This window comes from Homo sapiens, chromosome 8 (genome assembly GCF_000001405.40).
Source record: "Homo sapiens chromosome 8, GRCh38.p14 Primary Assembly".
Lineage (NCBI taxonomy): Eukaryota > Metazoa > Chordata > Mammalia > Primates > Hominidae > Homo > Homo sapiens.
The window spans coordinates 42,496,840-42,519,819 of record NC_000008.11 but is presented as its reverse complement, the minus strand read 5'-3'; the positions used below and the strand labels follow the sequence as shown (position 1 = coordinate 42,519,819).

The following is a 22,980-nucleotide window of genomic DNA, read 5'->3' as shown; positions in this document are numbered from 1 at the left end:
ATTCTTTTGACATGTGAGGGGCTTCTAACTATGACAGCCATAAATTTAAGTCACTTTAAGTTGGGCATCAAAAGCCAACATAAAGACATTCCAGGTTATGGATGGGAGACAGGCAGGGGCTGGTCCATAGGTTTTGGCCTTCCCAGATGTATCTGGCTAGCCTTTACATACCTGATAAAGGAAGTGCTCTTTGTAAGAAGTTAGAAAAAGAGAAGGAAAAGAGTGAAATATAAAAAGCAGTAGTTCTTGACCCCAACTGCATATTCAAAATATCTAGGTAGCTTTAAAAACAAAGCAAGTGTCTATGCTGGGCCAATTCAATTAAAATCTCCGAAAGTGGCGCCCAGGTGTTGGTTGTAATTTTTTTTTTTTTTTTAAGATGGAGTCTCGCTCTGTCGCCCAGGCTGGAGTGCAGTGGTGCGATCTTGGCTCACTGCAACCTCTGCCTCCCGGGTTCAAGCGATTCTCCTGCCTCAGCTTCCCGAGTAGCTGGGACTACAGGCACATGCCACCATGCCCAGCTAATTTTTGTATTTTTAGTAGAGACGGGGTTTCACCATGTTGGCCAGGATGGTCTCAATCCCTTGACCTCGTGATCTGTCTGCCTCGGCCTCCCAAAGTGCTGGGATTACAGGCGTGAGCCACCGTGCCTGGTCAGTATTTTTTAAAAATGCTGCCAAGGTGATACTTCTGTTAAGCCAAGACTGAGAACCACTGAACTAACAGGAACAGCGTCTGTGCTCAAATTTCAGCACCTTACAGTTTGAGTACAGTGCCTGCATCTGTCCTCTGTGCATTAGACTACTGTGCGTTCCACATAGCTTTTATTTATGGCTCTGCTGAGATTAGTATTTTCCTGAGGGTGGGGAAAATCACCCTTGTGAATGGTGGACACATTTAAACTTCAGGTCACAGCTTTAATATGTACAGCAGAATAGTGCTTATGCAGTGGAATCAAATACCCAAAACAGTGAGAAATTCAGAATCACTGAGTAGTCAAAAAGGAAAGTGGGCTTCATCTACTTTGAAGTGGGATGGGTGGGAAACTTTTTGGGAAATTGAGCATCTAGAAAACCTGTGTGGAGTGTGGGGCTGAGCCATCTTGAGTACTGACAGGGCCTATTGTGGGCCACATTCTTCTCTTTTTCTAGCTTAATTCTTTACTTTGTAAAACTATTTACTTGTAACAAGTGAAAGTATACACGGATGAATAAAAAACAAGAGTTAATGTCCCACCCATGTTCATAGCCTGATGTGAATTCCTCCCCACCTGTTTCTGTACTCCAAAGCATGTATAATGACATAGGGTTTGTTAGATTTTTGTTTTTTAAATAGGCTCAAACTCTGAACATGATTCTGAAGCCGGATTTTCCTCCTCAATATATCATAGATATGCCTCCAGGTCAATAGATATAGATTTAACTCTTGTTTCAAAAATGTGAATAAAATTTGATAGCCATTATGAATAAAATATGAATAGCCATTTGGTATGGCTTTATGTAAAATAATATAGTCAACCATTTCCCTGTGAATGGACATTGAAGGGACATTCAGGATGTTTCCTTTCTTTAAAAAAAGTTGTCTGGGCGTGGTGGCTCATGCCTGTAATCCCAGCACTTTGGGAGGCTGAGGTGTGCGGATCATGAGGTCAGGAGATCGAGACCATCCTGGCTAACAAGGCGAAACCCCATCTCTACTAAAAATACCAAAAATTAGCTGGGCGTGGTGGCACGCACCTGTAGTCCCAGCTACTGTGGAGGCTGAGGCAGGAGAATCGCTTGAACCTGGGAGGCGGAGGTTGCAGTGAGCTGAGATTGCACCACTGCGCTCCAGCCTGGGTGACAGAACAAGACTCGGTCTCAAAAATAAATAAATAAATAATTCTTTAAAAAAGTTTGCCACTACAAACAATGTTTTTGTACATACAACCTTAGGGACTTGTGCTTTTTTCCTAAAGTATTCTTATAATCCATGATTTGGTTTTGGTCAGATTTCTTAGTTTCTGGATGTCTTCTCTGTTAGAATAAATGAGTTAGTGTCAGTTGACTTCCAGTTAATTGACTCCTTCTGGATATTAAGTTGGGCATTAATAGGATAATCAACTATTTTAGGAATATTTGGATACTAATGAATCCTGGCAACCAGAATGTTTTCCAGAGGCCCTAGAATCCCTAGGATGGGGCTCCTCAACAGAAGGACCATGGTGGGCTTCATGGAGGTCCATGAACCACATGGTATTGATGGCAAAATTGTGTACACTTGTACATTTTATGGCTTTCATCAGATTTTCAAAGGGGCTCTTGCTGCAGATATGGCTAAAAATTGATAATATATTGTCAATTAGAGAATATTACTAAGCCTAAAAAACCTGTAAGGTACTCTAAGTTCCCATCAATAGCACATTTTTATTTATTACTTATTTATTTATTTTATTATTGTTTTTTTTTTTTTGAGACAGGATCTCACTACAGTTGCCCAGGCTGGAGTGCAGTGGCACGAACACGGCCCACTGCGGCCTCAACTTCCCAGGTTCAGGTGATCCTCCCACCTCACCCTCCCAAAGTGCTGGGATTACAGGCATGAGCCACCTCGCCCAGCCTGAATAGCACATTTTAAATCACAGTATCCTCTTTCTGTAAAGACCTGGATCAAAGTAAGTTTATCTAATTTCCAGGTCACATAAAATTAGGAGAGATGACTAATACTATAGATAGCAGATTCTAGTTTCAGAATGATCTGAATAGGTTGTAATAATGTTCTAAAATCAGCAACATGAGATACTAAGGATAAATGATCTGCAGGAGTTGAGAAATGCTTGGGGGGTGGTGGACGGTCTCAAGTGCACGAGATGAAAAGTAGCTCAGAGTTTATTGAGGCACAGGCTTATGTGAGGCATCTCTGTGATGTGGCTGCTAAAAACAGCAAGCTCAGGTTGCACTGATGGGTGCCTAGATTACATCGAGTCTGTTGTCCTGTTTTGTGGGTTAGTTAGAGCACCGTTGATGAATTGTGTTTAAGTCTCTGAACCACAGTTTAGGTGAGACATTGGCAAACGAGGGAGGCAGGACTAGTGGTGGATGGAGAAAGGAAGTCATATCAGGAACTGCTGCTAAAGGAGTTTGGTTGTTGGATCTGAAGGATGGTATAAAAGGAAAGTGGTAGCAGCCCTTATAGATCAGGGAATAGGAAGACCAGAGGATGGTATGTAGCTCTTCTGTGCTCAGTAACTGAATGAATGAGTAGAGATTATAAGGCAAAGGATTTTTACTTGGTCTAAGACAGAATCTTGTGGTGGTGAGAGCTCTCCAGCAATAGGATGCGCTGCCCTAGAGAGCAATGACCTCCCAGGTTGGGGAACCCTTCAAGCCAAGCCATGGACAAGTCTGAGCTCCAGAGGTTATAAAACAGGACTTCAGAAGTTCTTAACTGGAGTTTTATATTTCTTCTCTTAGGTACCTTAATTCTAAAACAGGAAAAAATTCTAGGATAATATTGTATTCCCTTTAAAAGTACTTTTATGGAAGGAGTGCTTTTGACTCAAAGGCTACGTGATTGTCAGTACAGGTATTTCAAAGGTGCTGAGAATTGAAAAATAACCGATTTTTATCTGAAACTGCAGTGCGTAAGTTACTCTGCTGTTCCACCTGAAGTAACTAGTCTGGACTTGTAGGATAGTGTTTAAGATTTCATTTTGGTTACTTTAGAGAGGAGAAGAATCACAGTTTTCCAAATTACAAAAATGATTAAAAAAGGAAATTTCATCACTTCCTGCCCTCGCTATGGCTTCAGGAAGCACAGTCTCCACTAGACTAGTTGTCCTGGCTTCTGACTTGCATAGCAGCTCTGTGTGGCACTGGTGTCATGCTGTGTCATGCCCATGGTTTGCACCCAAGCTTGCATACCGACCTGTGGAAGTGCACTGCCAATATTTGTTGGTTGAGACTAAGCTATCCCTTATGACTCTTTGATAATTGAAACAATATAAAAATCCTTGAAGCTGTGGAAATACATAAATATTGTCAAACATTTTTATATAAAACTTTGTTTAAAAAACCCTGTATCTTAGACCCCTGTTCTAAGACACACTAGCAGTCTTAGAACTGTTGGGGTGGGGGTTACAGTCACTTATGACCCCGGGATTTCTACTTTTTAGAGTGCGGGGAAGGGGTGGGTTAGAGGTTAGGAAGGTAGCCTCGTGGATTCAAATCTGGCTTCAGCACTTAGTGGCTGTGTGACCCTGGTTTCCTAGGTCTGTTCTCTCACTTGCAGAAGAAAGATAGTGATAGACTTTTGCCATTGTGAGTAAGCACTCAGCACAGCGCCGGCACCTGGAGAGAACTCAGAAATACTATATTCTGTTACCATACCACCTTCTCTCACCTCTTGATCTCTTTCCTATTTTTTCTGATTTAACAGATACTGTCATCTGTATGTCTTGTATTATCTTGAACACAGCATGTCTAAAACTAATTTTTTATATCCCCACCCCACCTTGCTCATGCTAAACCTACTCCTGCCATACTCTCCTGTCACCCCTGTTTAATGCACAAGTACCATTCATCAGAGATAGCATGGGGAGAGGTTAATACCACAAGCTCCGGAGTCAAAACTGTCTGGGATTCAATTCCTGCCCCGCTACTTATCTCCATGTGACCTTGGACAAGCTAATTTAACGTCTGTAAATCTCAGGTTCTTCAGCTGTGAAACAGATGTGATATCAATCTGTCTTATAGAATTGGGAAAAATCAATGAGATCAATACATGTTAAGTGCTTAGTACGGTTCCTGACACTTAGGTGCACAGTACATGTTTATTGTTTATACTTCTCACACTAGAAGTGATAGTGTCATCCTTAATTCCTCTTTTTTTCCCCACTGAAGTCATCAGTGCTATGATTCTACCTCCAAAGTCTCTCTTTTTCCATCACTGCCTTTACACCAGGCTTCCCTAAGCTGAATCCATCACTCACAGAGCTTCATCAGCCCCAGAAATTACATGTACGTTTTTTGACATACGTGCATGTTTCTTAGGAAAAGGGCTTTTTTTTTTTCTTTTTTTTTTTCAAACAGAGTATTACTCCATTGCCCAGGCTGGAGTGCAGTGGTGTGATCTCAGCTCACTGCAACCTCTACCTCCTGAGTTCAAGCAATTTTCCTGCCTCAGCCTCCCAAGTAGCTGGGATTACAGGCGCGTACCACCATGTCCGGGTAGTTTTTGTATTTTTAGTAGAGATGGGGTTTCACCATGTTGGCCAGGCTGGTCTCTAACTCCTGACCTCAAATGATCCACCTGCCTCGGCCTCCCAAAGTGCCGGGATTACAGGCATGAGCCACCGCGCCCAGCCAGGGGAGGGCTTTTTAGCTTTTATCGTTGGCATTCATGCAAGTCCGTAACCCAAAAAAGGCTAATAATTACTCTTATCTCTTGCCTGTTTCCAGTAGCCTATAAACTGACAGTTCTCCCCTAGTCTCTGTTTCTAATCTTCTCTTCACACTGTTACCCAGTTAACTATTGTTTTAATGTTTTTCTATTGCTATCCTAAGCTGATGCAGTGGTGTTGACTCCCTGTTGCCCACAGGAGTGGTTCTTGCCCACAGGTTAGAATTGCTACATGGGAAGTTTTTAAAAACTGCTGATGCCTGGACCCAATTATTATTGCTAACAAATAACAGGCCGTCAGCATTTTGTTTTAAAGCTTCTCAGGAGATTTTAATGTGTATCCAGAGTTGAGAGCCTCAGAGCTACAGGATAGTGGACCCACTCCTTAGCATGGTGCTTGTAGGCCCCAGCAATCTAGCACCAATGTATTTTTGCAACCTAATCTTCTACCTCTTCTCCCATTCATATCCCATCACTTGTATTCAGAACACATACTTCTGCTATTCCCAGAACATGCTACATGGTTTCCTACCCCTGAGCCTTTGCCTGTACTGATTGCTCTTCCTAGAATGCCTTTCACTGTTTTTCTGCCTGGGTATTTCCATCGCAAAATCTCCCCCAAGCCCCAGAGAGAATTTCATCCCTTACTTCCGTTACAGGATTTACCTGTATTATAATTATTTATATACCTGTCTTCCAGGGCACACTGAACTCTTGCAAGATAAGATCCTATTCATTTCTTTTCTCAAGCACTTGTCACCAGGTTAGGAAGCTCCCTGAGAGCCTGATGGATAAATGAACACATGAGAATGTACAACCAGCCGCCTGCTCAGGGGAGTCAGGAAATCTATGGGGTTGGGGAATGCAAGTCAATGTGGTATAGGAGTGGTTAAAAGTGCTCAGCAAAGTTTTATCCTCTTGTATTGCTTTTTCATACCTGTATAAAAAGGCAAGATCAAAATATATGAAGTTTATCATCTAGGACGAGGAAAGTTAAGACCAGCTTTTAAAATACCCCCAAACATTGACTGTCTGAATATAACAGCATAAAGTCATGTCATATGTGTCTCCCAAGACTCCAGCGGTTTCTGAATGAGAGGTGGAGAGGCAGCCACTGTGATGGTGGCAGCTGTTAATTCTGCCCAGTGGATTGTTCCAACTGAGTTACTGATATGAGGATGCCCTTATATGGACAGTTCTCCAGACGTTATATGTTTCTAATTTTGATCTCACCCCTGGCCTTTGTGTTTTAGCTGCTGTCTAATCCTTCTCTTGGCTATTTTTAATACTTTTTTTCCTCCATGCATCTCAGAATTGTCCAGCATTCTAAAGAATGGCAAGTTAAATGTGATTTATTCTTCCTGTTTTTTCAGTGCCTAGGATTAGTTTAAGCATAAAAGTGGTTTTGAGAGAGATTACTTTAGTAAATGATCTCAGAGATACTCTGTTGGATACTGTTTGAGGGGTGTTTTGTGTTATTCGTTCCTTATCTTAATGATTTTTCCTGAGCACTGACCACCACAACACTCTTATGAGAAGAAATGGTGTATTTAAAGTTGATACAAAGAACAGTGACTACTAATCTGATGTTGTGATTTGGGAATGCATAGTTCTGATCTGCTGTGTATGAACAACTTGAATGCTCTTTGTCTAACTAGCTGCTTATTACTTTAATAATTTTAAATAAGAAGGGCAAGAATTTTCTTTTTCAAAGTCACAGTGTTGGTTGGACCTTATAAATATGTTGCCCTTTTACATTTTTATCCATCTTATTGAAAAAGAGTTTTTTGGGCTGGACGTGGTGGCTCAGGCCTGTATTCCCAGCACTTTGGGAGGCCAAGGTGGCCAGATCACTTGAGGTCAGGAGTTCGAGACCAGCCTAGCCAATATGGTGAAACCCCATCTGTACTAAAAATACAAATATTAGCTGGGTGTGATAGCGCACGCCTGTAGTCCCAGCTACTCGAGAGGCTGAGGCAGGAGAATCGCTTGAACCCAGGAAGCAGAGGTTACAGTGAGCTGAGATCACGCCACTGCACTCCAGCCTGGGCATCACAGTGAGACTCCATCTCCAAAAAAAAAAAAGAGTTTTTCAAGTTTTTTTTTTTAAGCCGTAAAGAAATCTGGATCTATCCAGAGCTGTTCTTTATGGTTTACATAAAAGGTTCTTAGTTTGGGAAACTAAAAAGGATAATTTTCAGTTGTTTTCAAAGAGCATTTTTAAAAAACAGATCTGAGTCAAAGAAGTGGGAAATGAATCCTGTCCTGGCAATTGGAGAGGCAAGAATATAATGTCAAAAAGAAGAAACCAACTCTTAAAATGAAAGCATTAATGTCTAAAATGGATAATTGGCTTTTATTTCGCAGTCTACAATCAACCATGACTATCCCAGTACTGTTTGTCCACTCCTCTTTTGCGAACCATCCCCCTGTATTATGAAGGAACTGGTCTCTGGTATTTCTCAGAATGGTCTCTTGGATTATTATAATTATTGGGCTATTATAGTTCTGAGAGCTGAGTTGTTGATCCTTCTGGGTTTGGTTTTATGGTTTTTTTGGTGGGGTTTTTTGTTTGTTTTTTGCTTATCACAGCTACTTTGAAAACGAACACTCATTTTTTTAGTACTTTTTAAATGAAATACTTAGTACCTAAGGATACAATCATGTACGTTTATCAAGAGACCTGTGGAAGTAGTCACCTGCTGGGTTCTTATAGCCAAGTGCAACTAGATCCTCTTATAAATATTTTATCTCTTAATTTGAGCTTGACTTTGAACTGCTTACCCTAACAGTGACCACTTCTTTTTTTTTTTTGAGATGGAGTCTTGCTCTGTCACCTAGGCTGGAGTGCAGTGGCGCGATCTTGGCTCACTGCAGCCTTTGCCTCCCAGGTTCAAGCGATTCTCCTTCCTCAGCCTCCCGAGTAGCTGGGATTACAGGCACCCGCTACCACGCCCAGCTAATTTTTGTATTTTTAATAGAGATGGGGTTTCACTGTGTTGGCCAGGCTGGTGTTGAACTTCTGACCTCGTGATCCGCCTGCCTTGGCCTCCCAAAGTGCTGGGATCATAGGTGTGAGCCACTGCGCCTGGCCAAAAGTGACCACTTCTTAGTTTATCTGTTTGGAAACAGATCATACCCATTTACAGCAAAACTATTACAAATTAGAAAACATATTCTTGATTTCCACGTCTCTTGGAAAATTGGTATCAAGTATTGTCTTCCACCACACACGTGGGCATCTGCCCTTCAAGTGCCTCTTATAGATGCTCAGAGACCTGATAGTGAAAAGGCAGGAGTCTTGAGAATGGACTTGAAATTATTCACAGTGAAGCTGGCGGCTCTCCACTGTCATTTTGAGGGTCCTTTCAGGCATACCCTGCAAGTTCCCTGTCTACCTGAAATAGGTAGCAAGGGGACCTAAAGCCCCAGAGCCCCAGAACAGATTTTCTATCTACCATGGCCAGGTGGTTTAACTAGGAATTCTCCTTCATCATTACTTTATATAGCTTACATATAAAATATATATATTATATGTATATTTTCTTTTTTTTAAAAAATCCATGTATAAAATTTTTTTTTCAAAAATCCATGCCAAGCTCTGTTGTAAGTGCTTTATGTGCATTGAGTCATTTTTGCAACATTCCTAGAAGGTAGATGGATCCTTATCCTCATTTTACAGATGGGCAGAGAGAACTCTGTTAAATAACTTGCCTACTGTCTCAAAGCTAGCAATTGGTTCAGTTTGACTGAACCCAGGAATATGGCTCTGTTAAAAGACTCCTACAGCCCTCTTTTCCTCAGAAAGCCTTAAATTTCAAGTTAAAAGTAGGGTAATCCTTACCTAAAGACCCTTAAGTGCTTTTGAAACAGACTTGAATGATTGTGAAACAATATAGATTGAAATCACAAAAATTAGTATTTTATACTGTGTATCAAAAGATTTGGGCAATTAGCAGCTCGTTGCTTGATACTTAATAGTTTTCCTATTATCTGAGGGAGTAAACTGAGAAGTGGATGTTTATGATTAGCAGTTTAGCACAACTCATTATTTCACATTCTATCCAATACAGAATTGACAATAAGCCTTTGTTTGTGATGGGTGGAGTTTACCTTGGTGATACCTATGAAAAAGTGGTTTCTAAACAAATAAATACTGTAAGATTGCAGGAAAATGTTACTTATTTCAACATAGTCGAATATTTTCAAGCACTTTTAATGGGTTTTTTTGTTTTTGTTTTTAGTATAATCCAGTAACTATCCTTAGTACTTTCCTTTTAAAAACAGAGGAAACTCAGTTTAATATTTGTTGATTCAAGTAATAAAACTGCATTTAAAAGTATTTTCAGTTTAGATATATATCTAGTTCAAGCCAAATTAGTCTGGGATTAGTAAGGTTTTTGTTAACCTAACTTTCGAATTACTGTGGCTTTAAATCTAATCTTTGACTTTTTCCCCAAAATCTTATTGCATTCAGAGTTTCTCATTTTAGATTAGCTTGCATAGTAATAAATTATAGAAGTGAAGGTTGCACTTAATAAGCCTGTGCTTATTTTTCCATTTGAGGTGCATATATCACATAAGGTGGTATTAGTGCTCTTTTGTTTTGAAGCTAGTGGCCATGTTGTATCTGTCTCTAGTGGTTTCAAGCCTAGCATCTTTTTGTTTTGTTTTGTTTTGTTTTGTTGAGACAAGTTCTCGCTCTGTTGCCCGGGCTGGAATGCATTGGCACAATCATAACTCACTGCAGCCTCAAACTCCTGGACCCAAGATATCCTACCACCTCAGCTTCCCAAGTACCTTGGACTACAGGCGGGTACCACTGCACCCGCTAATTTTTTTATTTTTAATTTTTAATTTTTTTTTTATTTTTAGAGACGAAATCTCACTATGTTGCCCAGACTGGTTTCAAATTCCTGGGTTCAAGCAATGCTATGTCCTTGGCCTCCCAAAGTGCTGGGATTATAGGCATGACACTGTGCCTGGCTAAGCCTAGCATCTTGTATCAGCAAGTGCAGAATTATTGCCCCCAAGAGAAAGGAGAAAGCTTCCAGTGTGAAAGTAGAGGAAGGACAGCCTGTGTTCTTTTAACTGAGTGGAGGCTGATGTTGGGGTGCATGGAACGTGTCTGACCTTGTGCTCTAGATCTCTGTGGACTCCAGACAATGGAGGAGGAAGGGAAACATTTAAGTGTGTTTAGCATTTTCTACATACCAGGTACTGTTCTTGGTGATAAAGCTGTATCTCTGTATCTACATTCATACATGCCTATCTATATCTATATAACTGTTTGCTGTGTATGCATAAACATATGTTTATTTAACAAAACATTTATACCAGGCACTATTCTACATACTTTACAAATGAAAAACTCATTTAGTCTTCATAATAACCCCGTGAGGCATGTATAATTATTATTCCCATTTTAAAAGTGATGAAGGCACAGTGAGAAAGTAATTGCCCAAGACAACTACAAAGTGATGAAGCTGGCATTTGAACCAGGTAGCCTTGCTGCAGATGCCACTTTCATTGGATACTTTATAGCCTAGATTTGGAAAAATTAAGTAATTTAGTCATCAAAGCAGCTATTACTTGATGGAGCTTGAATCTCAATCAAGCTGTCCCCTAGACAAACATTATAGCTTTCCTTTTTCTCCATCTTTGCTTGTGTGTTGCTTCTGTATAGTGTTCTTTCTACTCCTGCTACTGTTGAGAGCTTAGGAGAAGGCTCCATTCAAATGCCACTCCCAGGCCGGGTGTGGTGGCTCACGCCTGTAATCCCAGCACTTTGGGAGGCCGAGGCGGACGGATCACCTGAGGTCAGGAGTTCAAGACCAGCCTGGCTAACATGGTGAAACCCCATCTCTACTAAAAATACAAAAATTAGCCAGGCGTGGTGGCAGGTGCCTGTAATCCCAGCTACTCGGGAGGCTGAGGCAGGACAATCACTTGAACCTGGGAAGTGGAGGCTGCAGTGAGCTGAGATCATGCCACTGCACTCCAGCCTGGGGTTACAGAGCGAGACTCCGTCTCAAAACAAACAGAGCGAGACTCCGAGACTCCGTCTCAAAACAAACAAACAAACAAAAACAAATACCACTCCCTCCAAGATCCCTTTTTTGAAAATGGAGATAGGGTCTCAATATGGTGCTGAGGCTGGTCTGGGACTCCTGGCCTCAGGCGATCTTCCCACCTCAGCCTCCCAAAGTGCTGGGATTATATTACAGGTGTGAGCCACTGCACCTGGCTGAAGATGCCTTTCTTTCTTTCTTTTTTTGAGACAGAGTCTTGCTCTGTTGCCCAGGGTGGAGTGCAGTGGCACGATCTTGGCTCACTGCAGCCTCTACCTCCTGGGTTCAAGCAGATTCTCCTGCCTCAGTCTCCTGAGTAGCTGGGACTACAGGCATGTACCACCACGCCTAGCTAATTTTTTTTGTATTTTTAGTCGAGATGGGGTTTCACCATATTGGCCAGGCTGGTCTCGAACTCCTGACCTCAGGTGATCCGCCCGCCTCAGCCTCCCAAAGTGCTGGGATTACAGGCATGAGCCACCGCGCCGGGCCAGCCTTTCTTGATTAACACAACTGGAAGCCTCTTCTTTGCTTATGTTCCTATTGGAATGAACTTTTAACTTTTGGAATGCTTACTAATTACTCCCTTATATGATAAGTTTATGGACCGTGGGACAGTGTCATGACTCATCACATTATGAGCCTCTTAAAGGCAGAACTGTCATTGACACCACTTTCTGCTGTGGTCATGGGCATCCTGCCACTTATACAAATCTTGCAAATGCTTGGGAGTTTCCTGATGGTGCTTTAACAGATGTTTGTTAAATAGGTGGCTGTTCTGAATGTAGAGCAGTATGAAAGCCCCAAGAGAATTCCAATATAATTTAAAAAATCAACTATGTTAAAATGAGTATTCAAACAACAGCAGTCATAATGCTGCCTTTACTTTCACAATCCTGATAAAAACTGTCATAAAATTATGCTGAATTAGCTATTTATCAAGGTTTTTTAAAGAACTGTCTTGAAGAGTTTGCGTCTTTTTTTTTTTTTTAGCTGAAGAGGATACCAGTTTCTTCTGTGTAGAGTTAGAGCTCTCTGTTTGTATGTATGTGAACTGAGTCCGTTTCTGAAGTGTGAAGACTGCATCGCTGTGGATCACACTGGTGTAGCCCTCCTGAGCATGCAGCCTTTTTGGAGGAATGTGTGTTAGTCAGCTTTTGCTGCATAACAAACCACCTGATACTAGTGGCTCAAAAAAACAAACATTTCTTTCTGTACCTCACAGTTCTGTAGGGCACCGGAGTGGTTCTGACTTGAGCAAGCCTGGCTGGACTTTGCAGTCAGCTGGCAGCTGGCTGGCTGTGTGGTTTACGATGGCCTGACCCACCCATCAGGTGCTCAGCGGGCTGACCAGTGGCAGGGACTCAGCAGTGATGGTGCATCCCCACTCCATGTGGCCTTCTCATTTGTAGTAGGCAAGCCAGGGCGGGCATTTCGAAGTTGCAAGAGAGGGTGAGCCCCCATGCACCAGCACTTTCCAGGGCCCAGCATTATGTTTGCTGTTGTCCTACTGGCCAAGCCCAGAGTCAGTGCAGGAAGGGACTCCCTAGGGTAAGGAAGGAATAGGGGGACTTTACAGCAGCCATCTGCCCAGACACATGATTCGCCTGTGTTCTTCAGTCAGTGACCCTGAATCCTGTGCTAACCTCTGGCTGGGGACATGAGACCATATCACGGAGAAAATTAAACAGGCTGGCGCAGCTACAGAGTTTTCCAAAGGAGTTTACAAACCCTGGTTTTCCTGAAATACTTAACGACCATTTGAAATTCCTTTCAACATTTTATTTTTTGAAGAAGCTTCATGCTATAAAAACAGGGAGCCTTTAATCCGCACTCAGTAAATATCCCAAATTGCCCTTCAGCAAGTACCATACTGCTGCTAGACCTGCTGTGAGCATAATGGCCCCGGCCGTTTATGAGACTCTTTGTGTGCCTGTGCTAGATACATCTCACTTCCTTCCAACACCAACCCTTGATGTCAGCAACATTATCCCCATTTTACAGGCGAGGAAGCCAAGTCACAGAGGTGAGCTCAATTGCTCGAGGTCAGACAGCTAGTAGGTCGTGGGGTACACTTTGAACCCAGGTCTTTCTGAGTCCACAGCTACAATCCAAAGAATTCCTAACGTGGGCCAGGCACAGTGGTTCACACCTATTATCCCAGTACTTCGGGAGGCCAAGGTGGATGGATGCCTGAGGTCAGGAGTTTGAGACCAGCCTGGCCAACATGGCGAAACCCCGTCTCTACTAAAAATACAAAAATCAGCTGGTCGTGGTGGCACACACCTATAATCCCAGCTGCTCAGGAGGCTGAGGCAGGAGAATCCTTGAACACAGGAGGCGGACGTTGCAGTGAGCCGAGATTGCACTACTGTGACAGAGACTTTGTCTCAAAATAAATAAATAAAATACAGAGAATTCTTAACGAGTTGAAGAGTTTTTTCTTCAATGTTCATTTTTTGATGGCTTTTTTTTTTCTTTGAGATAGAGTCTCACTCTGTCATCCAGGCTGGAGTGGTGGCGTGATCTCAGCTCACTGCAACCCCCGCCTCCCAGGTTCAACTGATTCTCATGCCTCAGCCTCCCAAGTAGCTGGGACTACAGGTATGTGTGACCGTGCCCGGCTAAGTTTTTTGTAGAGACGGGGTTTCGCTACATTAGCCAGGCTGGTCTCAAACTCCTGACCTCAAGTGATCCTCCTGCCTCAACCTTAAATAGTTGGATCAAATAACCAGGTTCAATTTGATGATAAATAGCTCAGAATAGAAACTTCACTGCTATTTCCAGATGTCATTTTAAAATATTTTAGAATACCTGATTTCTCCATGACCTATCCATGCTTTTCTAAGGTTCCAAACTAAAATGCAGAATCTTGAGTTATTCCAGAACATAGATTTAAAATTTGATCAGAAAATAACCTTCATTTAAGAAATGAGGGGTCAGGCATGGTGGCTCACGCCTGTAATCCCAGCACTTTGGGAGGCCGAGTTGGGTGGATTGCTTGAGCCCAGCCTATTTATTTACTATCCTATTATGAGCTTGAGACCAGCCAGGGCAACATAGCAAAACTCCATCTCTACAAAAAATATAAAAATTAGCCAGGTGTGGTGGTGCACACCTATAGTCCCAGCTACTTGGGAGGCTAAGGTGGGAGGATCGCTTGAGCCTGGGAGGTGGAGGTTGCAGTGAACCAAGATTGTGTCACTGCACTCCAGGCTGGGCGACAGAGTGAGACATCTTCTCAATTAAAAAAAAAAAAAGGTTGGGGGGGTATTGCGTCCCTCTTGTGTGGCACCCTCCTTCCTCTCCCCGCTGTAGCCATAGCACATTGCACATAAACTGCGTCTTCATACTTACCCAAGTATTGTATCTGCCTGGGTGAGTCTGTTCCTGTCACTAAAATGTGAACTCCCTGGACATAGAGACCTTGTCTTTCATCTCTGTATCTGTCCCCAGTACCTGGCATAGTAACTGGAACATGCCTTTTTTTTTTTTTTTTTTTTTTTTTTTTTTTTTTGAGACGGAGTCTTGCTTTGTTGCCCAGGCTGGTGTGATCTTGGCAGTGGCATGATCTTGGCTCACTGCAGCCTCTGCCTCCCAAGTTCAAGTGGATTCTCCTGCCTCAGTCTCCTGAGTAGCTGGGACTACAGGCGTGCGCCACCATGCCTGGCTAATTTTTTTTGTATTTTTAGTAGAGACAGGGTTTCAGCATGTTGGTCAGGCTGGTCTTGAACTCCTGACCTCGTGATCCACCCACCTCGGCCTCCCACAGTGCTGGGATTACAGGCGTGAGCCACCACGCCTGGCCACCAATTTTTATTATATGATTTTATAACTAAAATTTCATGTCTAGCAATGAAATTCTTCTTCTCTCTTTTTTGTTTATTTATCTTCCTTTTAGTCTTTCTTTCTCCTCGGATCTTTCCCCTTCTATCTGTCTCAGTTCCTTCATTTTCCTTAGCTCTCCATTTCTCCCAGCATCTGCTACTAGTCTAGTCTCCTGGCTCTTAACCTTTTTGAGACACAGACTCCTTTAATAAAGTGATGAAGAAAGTTATCTCCCCAGAAGAATACACACAGAGAACACAGAATATTTTGCATATTATTTCAAAGGTAAAGAATGCCAAGAAGCCAGGGGCAGTAGTTCATGCCTGTGATCCCAGTGCTTTGGGAGGCTGAGGTGGAAGAATCACTTGAGCCCAGGAGTTCGAGGCTGGCCTGGGCAACATGGTGAGACCTCCTCTCTACAAAAAAATTTTAAAATTAGCCAGGTGTGCTGGCACGTGCCTGTAGTCCCAGCTACTCAGGAGGCTGAGGTGGGTGGATTGCTTGAGCTCAGGAGGTGAAGGCTGCAGTGAGCCATGATTGTGCCACTGCACTTCAGCCTGGGTGACAGAATGAGACCCTAGCTCTAAAAAACAAAGGATGCCAAGTATCTAAACTTTGAGCTCCTTGAGGACAAAAACTAGGCGTTTTTCATCCTATATGCCCAGTATTTAGTTGATGTTTCTTGAGTGTATATAAGTGTGCACATGCCCAGAAACATGTAAATATTAGTACATGTTGTAGAAAAGCTGTTGTCAGGAAGATATTTGTACACTCTGGCTTTCCACTATGATAGTCACCAGGCACATGTGGGTACTGAGCACTGGAAATGTGGATTGTCCAGATTGGAATGTACTAATTGTAAAATACGCACTGGATTGCACAGGCTTGGGGCAGTACAAACAAAAGAATGAAGATATCTCATTAATAGTTTTTATGATTATTACACATTAAAATGATCATATCTTGGATATATTGAGTTAAAATATATTATTAAATTAATTTTACCTCTTTATTGTTACTTTTCTAAAAGCAGCTACTAGAAAATTTTAAATTATACATGTAACTGCTCATAGAAGGTTGGTATCTGGGTTCATTCATTAGTGGACATTCATAAACATAGTAATTTTCTTTAATTTCATGGATTCGTTGAACTAAAGATCCCATAGGTCACCGCCTTCCCTGTCCCTCCTCTACCACCAAAAATTAATGAGAACAAATGGGAAGAATTTACTCTGCTTTTCAAGGTACTCTGATACAGATTTTTATCTACTGTCATAAGTATACCTAGAACAAAAGCACTGTTGACTCAAGTAGTTTCACTAATGAAAAGGAAGCAGCAGAATGACTAATGTAAATTGGAGGAGACTCTTTTATTTGGAATGCTTTGGTTCTTCCACTGTGGAACAGGTGTGGCTGCTGTTGAAACAGCAGAGTCATACTAGGCATATCTGACATGTGAGGAACCGGAGCATTGCTCAGGGGCCCCTGCCTTCCAATGAATGGATGTAGGATCCATCATACATCAGATTGCTCCTTTCCAATACAAACTCTGATGCAGAAATGCACTTGGTGTATTTGCTTTTTCTTACTTTCTGGTTTAGGGCAGAAATAATATTTTGGCTTAGAGACTTTTGTCCTGAACTATGACATAATAGGATGAGAATATCGTGTCAAAAATAGCCTTACAAGGTCCTTTTTGGCATTAAGACTTCTGGAGTGAGTTTGCAGTGGATTATTGAGAATAATTCTGTTCATTAGCAGCTAGCCATCTTTGATGAGTGCTGACTTCTCTCCTTTCAGCACAGAGCAGGAAATGCCTGCCTCCCATGACTCTGGGTTGGAGTGAAGGGGAATGCATACCAGCCACCCTCTTGCAGAGGTGGGGCAGGTGCTGGCACAGAGCCTCAGGTTAGGCCGAGGGGATGCAATCTCAGATCAGCAGCCAGCAGTGTTTGTAAACAACAGGAGGGAGATTGTGCTGGTGATGTCCAACTCACACCAATGAAGATCAACCGGTTTGTGCTTTGGGCAGCAGGCTGCAGATGGACAGTGCCTCCTGAGGGCATCGCCATGTTTTAGGGATCCATGTTGCAGGATACCTGTCTGCAAGAGAGAGTCAAGGAGGGCTTTTTAAGCCCCTGGGGTTCAGGCCTGGCATCTGGGTGTTAAGTAGAGTGAATCTCCTGAAGTCCAAACTAACATATGACATTTTAAAATGAGGAAAACAAATGGCTCTGAAAAGGTCTATAGGATTATAGGTAAGTGGTTAATACGGAAGATGTTATAAAGGTCTCAGGAGGAGATGGGGTGATCCAGGGTTGGTTGAAGTCGTTGAAATGGAATTACCCTGTCTTTTACCTGTCTGTGGGAAAAAAAAAAAAAGAGGAAAATGACATCTCCCAAAGATGCTTGGAGATTTGATTGATGTTTGTAAAGTGCTTTGATATCTTTCATAGAGTGTTCAATAAGAGCAAAATATGTCATCAGAACTTAGTCTAAAGCAAACTAGTCCCAAACCGTCTTGAGTAGATACTAAGCGGTTTTGTGTCTTTGTTATAAGTTGTACTTATATTTTCGAGAGAAAGTTTTTCATGTTCTGATTTTCTTTTAAGTGTCAGCTGTATGTTTGGGGTCTTTACCTGTTAACTTGAGTTCCAACATGCTTTGTAGATGGTCAGTCACCTACAGAGGACAATTTTTCTAGCCAAGGAGTTAAATCCACCTTAAAATGCTTCTTGCCAAGGACAATGCCTTTGCAAATATTTGAGATGTTTATTCTCAGTTGTGATTTATTACTGAATCTGTGTCTTCATAGCGACTCCTTGGGAGGTGCAGGAGGAGGCAGAGCCAGAAAGCAAGTCCCTGCAATCAGTTCATTATAGAGAAAGAAAAAGCTTTTATTTCAGGATTCTGGTGGATAGACTTACTGATATGTATATTCTGTGTCTATTTAATTTCACGTAGTGCTGCATCTAATCACGCTGTTTAAATAATCGGACAGAATGTCCTTTTGCTTTGCTTTTGCTTGTGAAGAGCACACAGCACTGCCACCTTGTTGCCAAAGTTTGGTCTGATTTGAATGTGCTTAAAAATCAAGTGAATGCCTGTTGGGAAAAAGCTTACTCCTTCTCTTTGTCAGTACTTGCAAAAACAACTTAAAAGAAGTTAGTATTATTGGACTGAATTCAGTAATTAGCATAATCATGATGCTATGTATTGTTCACCAGGGCACGCCCCTTGGCCGCATTTCCCATTAAGAGGACACCGATGTTGTCCTAGTGAATAAATCCCGGCACACATGATGCAAATCAGCGTGTTCCTGCCTGCTGCTTGGCTGCAGTTAATTTTAGCCGGGGTTAGTTCTATGAGTTGTAAAAGTAGAAGTTAGCAAGCTGAAATGTGACTTCTCGGCCTAATGTGGTAGGATATCTATTTTAGACTTCAGATTGTGTTTGTGATCAGGAGAGCAGTCTTCTGAAGAATTGTGGCTCAGTTTTCTTGGAAACTACTTGTAAGTACTGGGTGGAATTTTAAGACTTCTCTTTGTTCTTTTCTCCTTAAATCTTCCTAATGTTACCGTCATAGTAATGTTTATCTCTTGGGAAAACTGGAAGCTTTCAGGTTGGTACGTTAGAGAAAGCTAAGAGAGGTGGCAAAAGGTTTTTCTTTAAATGTCTCCTACTGCAATAAATCTGCCTTATTCAATTTGCCCAAGAAAAAGTTTTCGATTCTTACTTATTTTTGCAAAAGCAATCTGTAGATTATTATTTTATGTTAAAATATTTGATTAATGGATATGGTTTCTGTAAATACAGAAACATTGTATTGTGTCATTGAGCTTTGTTTTCTACTATGGTAACCTAATTCTTGAGAAAAAAATGTTGAAAGTTAATTCCTGTTATACTCTGTGCTACAAGTTTATTTTGTAGAAATAATGGAGTGTCAAATGTAATTTTCTTGAATGTATAGATGGACAGTTTTTTATCCTTTTAAGGGGGATTTTGTGCTTAAAAAATAAACCCATATATGCCTAAAGAGAAGCACTTTAAAAAATTAATTTAGGAAGAAGGTTTTAGAGAATAATTTAAAGCATCCTCTTTTAGACTGAGTTAGTTATCAAAAGTAACCAAAGGCCATGGGATTCTGTAACCTTAACTGCAGTTCATCTAACACATTATTACCAACTTAAATTTGTACTGAAGAAAACAAAAGATTTTGATATTGAATATTTTAAATTAAATTTGAATCATCTTGCTTATTTAGAAGTGTGTTTTCAATGTGGACTGACCTCAAGCCAAACAGTTTGCTTACAGCAGAGAACCAGGCAGGAATTTCTTTATCAATTAGCAAGTAAATGTATCAGCTTTAGGAATATTGTTATTAATAAAACAGTTCTCCTAGGCGATAGGATAGGTGCTCACCAGCTATCTATGCCTGTCATCTCTAGAGCAAGGAAGGAGGCAGGTCCACAGTTAGTATTGTGAAAGCCATTTTCCCATTTTGAAAAGATTTAGTTAAAGACTTCTTTGTTATTATGTATTGTCTGATTTTAAATGCAAATGACATAAAGTGTCAACAATGAAAGGAAATACTTCAGTGTTCCATTTAGTAGGAAAAGAGTGTAAGAAAGGAAAGTAGTACTGAGTTCTTGGGCTATTTTTAGAAAGAAACTTACTTCATACTTAGTTTTTATTGAGCTGAAGAGAAATTTGCTGCCCAGATGAATTATAATGATAACAGAAGCCTCTAATGTCATCTTCAGCAGTAAAAGGGGTTTTGCTCCGGTAATCCTTCATAATATATATTTTTATCCAAAAAATTCTGACTTATTGCTATTACTTCTTACTTCTAATTGTTAATAAGGCACCATCAGAATCTCAGTGGAGCATTTTTAAAGGTACACTGTAGTTGGGTATTAGTTTTCACACCAGTATTCACTTGACCTATTGTAGTTCTTAGTCCTGCAAAAGAGAAAAGCTGATTCGAATTTATCCATTGTTTAATTTCACAGACGTTTCTGTAGGTTTTTCTACTACTAGGAAGCATGTGCTTTATGATGAGTTGCTAAAATGCGCATAAACACTTGAGGAGTGTTCGTTTTAATGATTTACGTGCTGTGAGAGAGTGGCAGCGGTGAGTGAGAGCGGAGAAGGTTTTCATTATATAAGTGTTAGTGCCGGAATTCCTCGTGTTTGCCGGTGCTGCGATTCTCTTCGCTGCTTCTACCCCGTGTGCCTGGTGAAATGATGCTGGCTGTGACTGGTTATGACCTTGGGCGACAAATCATGATGAGCTCTATGCAGAGTCACACACTGGGGGTCCAGGTGCGGAGAAACAGGGCAGCTTTGTGGCCGCAGGAGGAGTCCAGGAGCCGAGCCCGCCTGCCCTTGCCCTGCTGTTCCCACGCCGCAGGTGACCGCACGTCTCCCCTGCAGTCCTGTTGGAGCCACTCTGTCCAGCTGCCCGTGCTCTCATCCTACTCCTCCACGTCTTAAAATAGTTACAGACCCAGAGGCTCTGACAGAATCGCTGCCGGTTGCAGATTTATTTCACTGTTACTTTCTGCCTAGAGGGATAGCCTTCTGCTCAGAAGCTTTGAGGGGTTTCTCAGGGACGCAGAGAGGAACCTTTTCTCTGGGACCTCTTCCCTCACATGAGGTTTTAATGGGTCTCTTGCCTGCATGGCTAAATGGGAACTGCGCTATGTAACAGGTTGCCTTTCGGCTTGGAGCCCGGATGCTCAGTGATCACATCCCTAGAATGTTCTCTCTCTAAAGGAAATCTTGTCGGAAGAGGCTGTGTTATGTGAGTTCCAGCTGTTCATCTAAAGTGGAAGGAGCAGTGAGCAGGAGGGATGCCTTCAGCTTCCGTCCGTCTTAAAAACAAGTGTAACATAATGGGATATGGCCCTCAGGAGGAAGGCTGATTTCTCGGGCATACGGGGTACTGCTGTCATTATTTAGCATGTATTAAGCACCCCACAGCACATGCGGTGCACAAGGAAAGCATAGTTCCAACCCACATGCTACAACAAGGCAGGACACAGAAACTGGGCCCCCTGACATTCAGTAACTACACTGGCAGAAAAAAAAATGTGAAAATGAAGAAAAGGGAAACAAGATGAGTGGGGTGGGTTGAGGATACTTCAGCATTCAGCTCCTCTGAGCTTTTGCCAAAGACGATTAGGACAGACAGCTGTGCCACCTGGGCTGTGCCTTCCCTTTCTCCTCCATAGCTGGGAAGTGATGGGGACAAGTGACAAGACTGACCCCAGAAGCCTTGCCCCCCACTCTCAGTCCTCTGTTGCAATCCTCCTACAAAGAGGAGAAGCTTCACAGTTTCACTTGCACCTAAAACTATTATTATTATGTGGAGGGGGTAAACTTGTTATAAAGTGCAATAAATATCAAAGCATCTTTCTCCATAAAATGATATTTAGATAGAAATCTGGAGTTCCAGATTCTCCCTTCCTGAACTGGTTTGCAATTCAACAAGTTACTTAACCCTGCACTGGTTTAGGATATTGAGTCAACTGTAATATTAGTTAGGGAAATGCCTTCAGCTTCTCAGAGGAAAGGCATTATGAAGGTCTACTGAGCATTATTGCAGCTTGTAAAGGAGTTAGAAGCACATGAATCAGAAGAAGGGCTGATAGGAAGGCTTGGGTACTGGGGAGTAATAACATGAGCGGCCTGCGTGGTTCTGTGAGTCTGTGAGTCCCTCCCCCCGTGCCCAACCTCAGCCAGTCTCTAAGGTTCTGGGTCTAGTTCATGGCTCCACAACAAAGAGACTTGGCTCCACAAAGAACCTCAAAAAAAAAAAAAAAACCAATTGAGGGTTGGAAAATGATACCTATGATAAGAGGGTAGGGAACTTCTATTATTTAGCCTGGAAGAGGAAACAAATGACCGGGAGACTCTTGAATTGTTCTTCAAGTATATGTGTGTCTCAGTGGCAAAGAATGGTGACCCACTGGTATCTATTTCCATCTAGAATAAAAGGGTCAGGTCCAGCAAGGGTTGGGCTGGAACAGAGGTGCCGACAGTGGGGACCCTGTTTCTTCAGCGTCAGCACCGCCTGGAAACATGTGAGAAATGCAGATTCTCAGGCCCCACCCAGGCCCTGCTGAATCAGAAAACATGGGGTAGGGCCAGCAGCCTGTGTTTAAAAAATCTCCCAAGTGATTCTGGTGCACGTTGACATTTGAGGTCTGCTGGATGAGATGCAAAGATGGAGGGTATTATAAAATGGGCAATCTGGATGCCAAAAAATGTAACCCTTTTTCCTGAAGTCATCTAAACATGGGATTATATTTGTTTGCAGTGTTTTCAATGTACTCTCTAAAGTCAGGAGATAAATGACCTCTCAAAGTCCCTTCCAGCCCTGACTTTGCTCTGGATTTCCTTTTGTCACTTAGAGAAGATTAATAATTAACCAGGAAAATTTTGCAATTACTTTTCTGAGCTAAGACAGTGTTCCTCTCAAATGAGGCTCACCTGAGATAATGTGAGAATAATATTGTGTTAGCATATGGATCTACTGTATTTTATCAGTGTTACCAGACTCTCCTCCCCATGTGACCTCACAGCCACCTGCAGGGGATCTGGGCAGAGGTAGCGTGTAGCCCATATGGGGGGTGGGGAGCTTATTGTTGGCTCATGAGCACTTTACATCACAGACTGTGGCCAGGTTGGTCCGTCCC

The 22,980-nt window shown here is 42.0% G+C and overlaps 1 protein-coding gene across 14 annotated transcripts in view, besides 1 other annotated feature; it reads left to right on the top strand.

Moving 5' to 3' along the window:
- The window catches only part of SLC20A2 (solute carrier family 20 member 2), a 125,480-nt gene that overhangs the window by 22,135 nt on the left and 80,365 nt on the right, over nucleotides 1-22,980 (top strand). For 2 of the 14 annotated variants that reach the window (XM_017013749.3, NM_001257180.2), the window contains exon 1: nucleotides 18,589-18,789. The exons of 11 other annotated variants lie outside the window; for them this stretch is intronic. The gene's annotated coding sequence lies outside the window, so the exon portion shown is untranslated. Of the gene's footprint in view, nucleotides 1-17,316; nucleotides 17,537-18,588; nucleotides 18,790-22,980 lie in introns of those variants that run through there. One more of the 14 variants, XM_024447236.2, reaches the window with a different exon arrangement.
- Nucleotides 16,483-17,682: an enhancer, noted in NCBI's record as "CDK7 strongly-dependent group 2 enhancer chr8:42359656-42360855 (GRCh37/hg19 assembly coordinates)". NCBI's record gives its function as "activates an origin of replication core promoter dependent on BRD2, BRD4, P300/CBP, MED14 and CDK7 cofactors, with strong dependence on CDK7, by STARR-seq in HCT116 cells {active_cell/tissue: HCT116}" and the evidence as "EXISTENCE:reporter gene assay evidence [ECO:0000049][PMID:35650434]".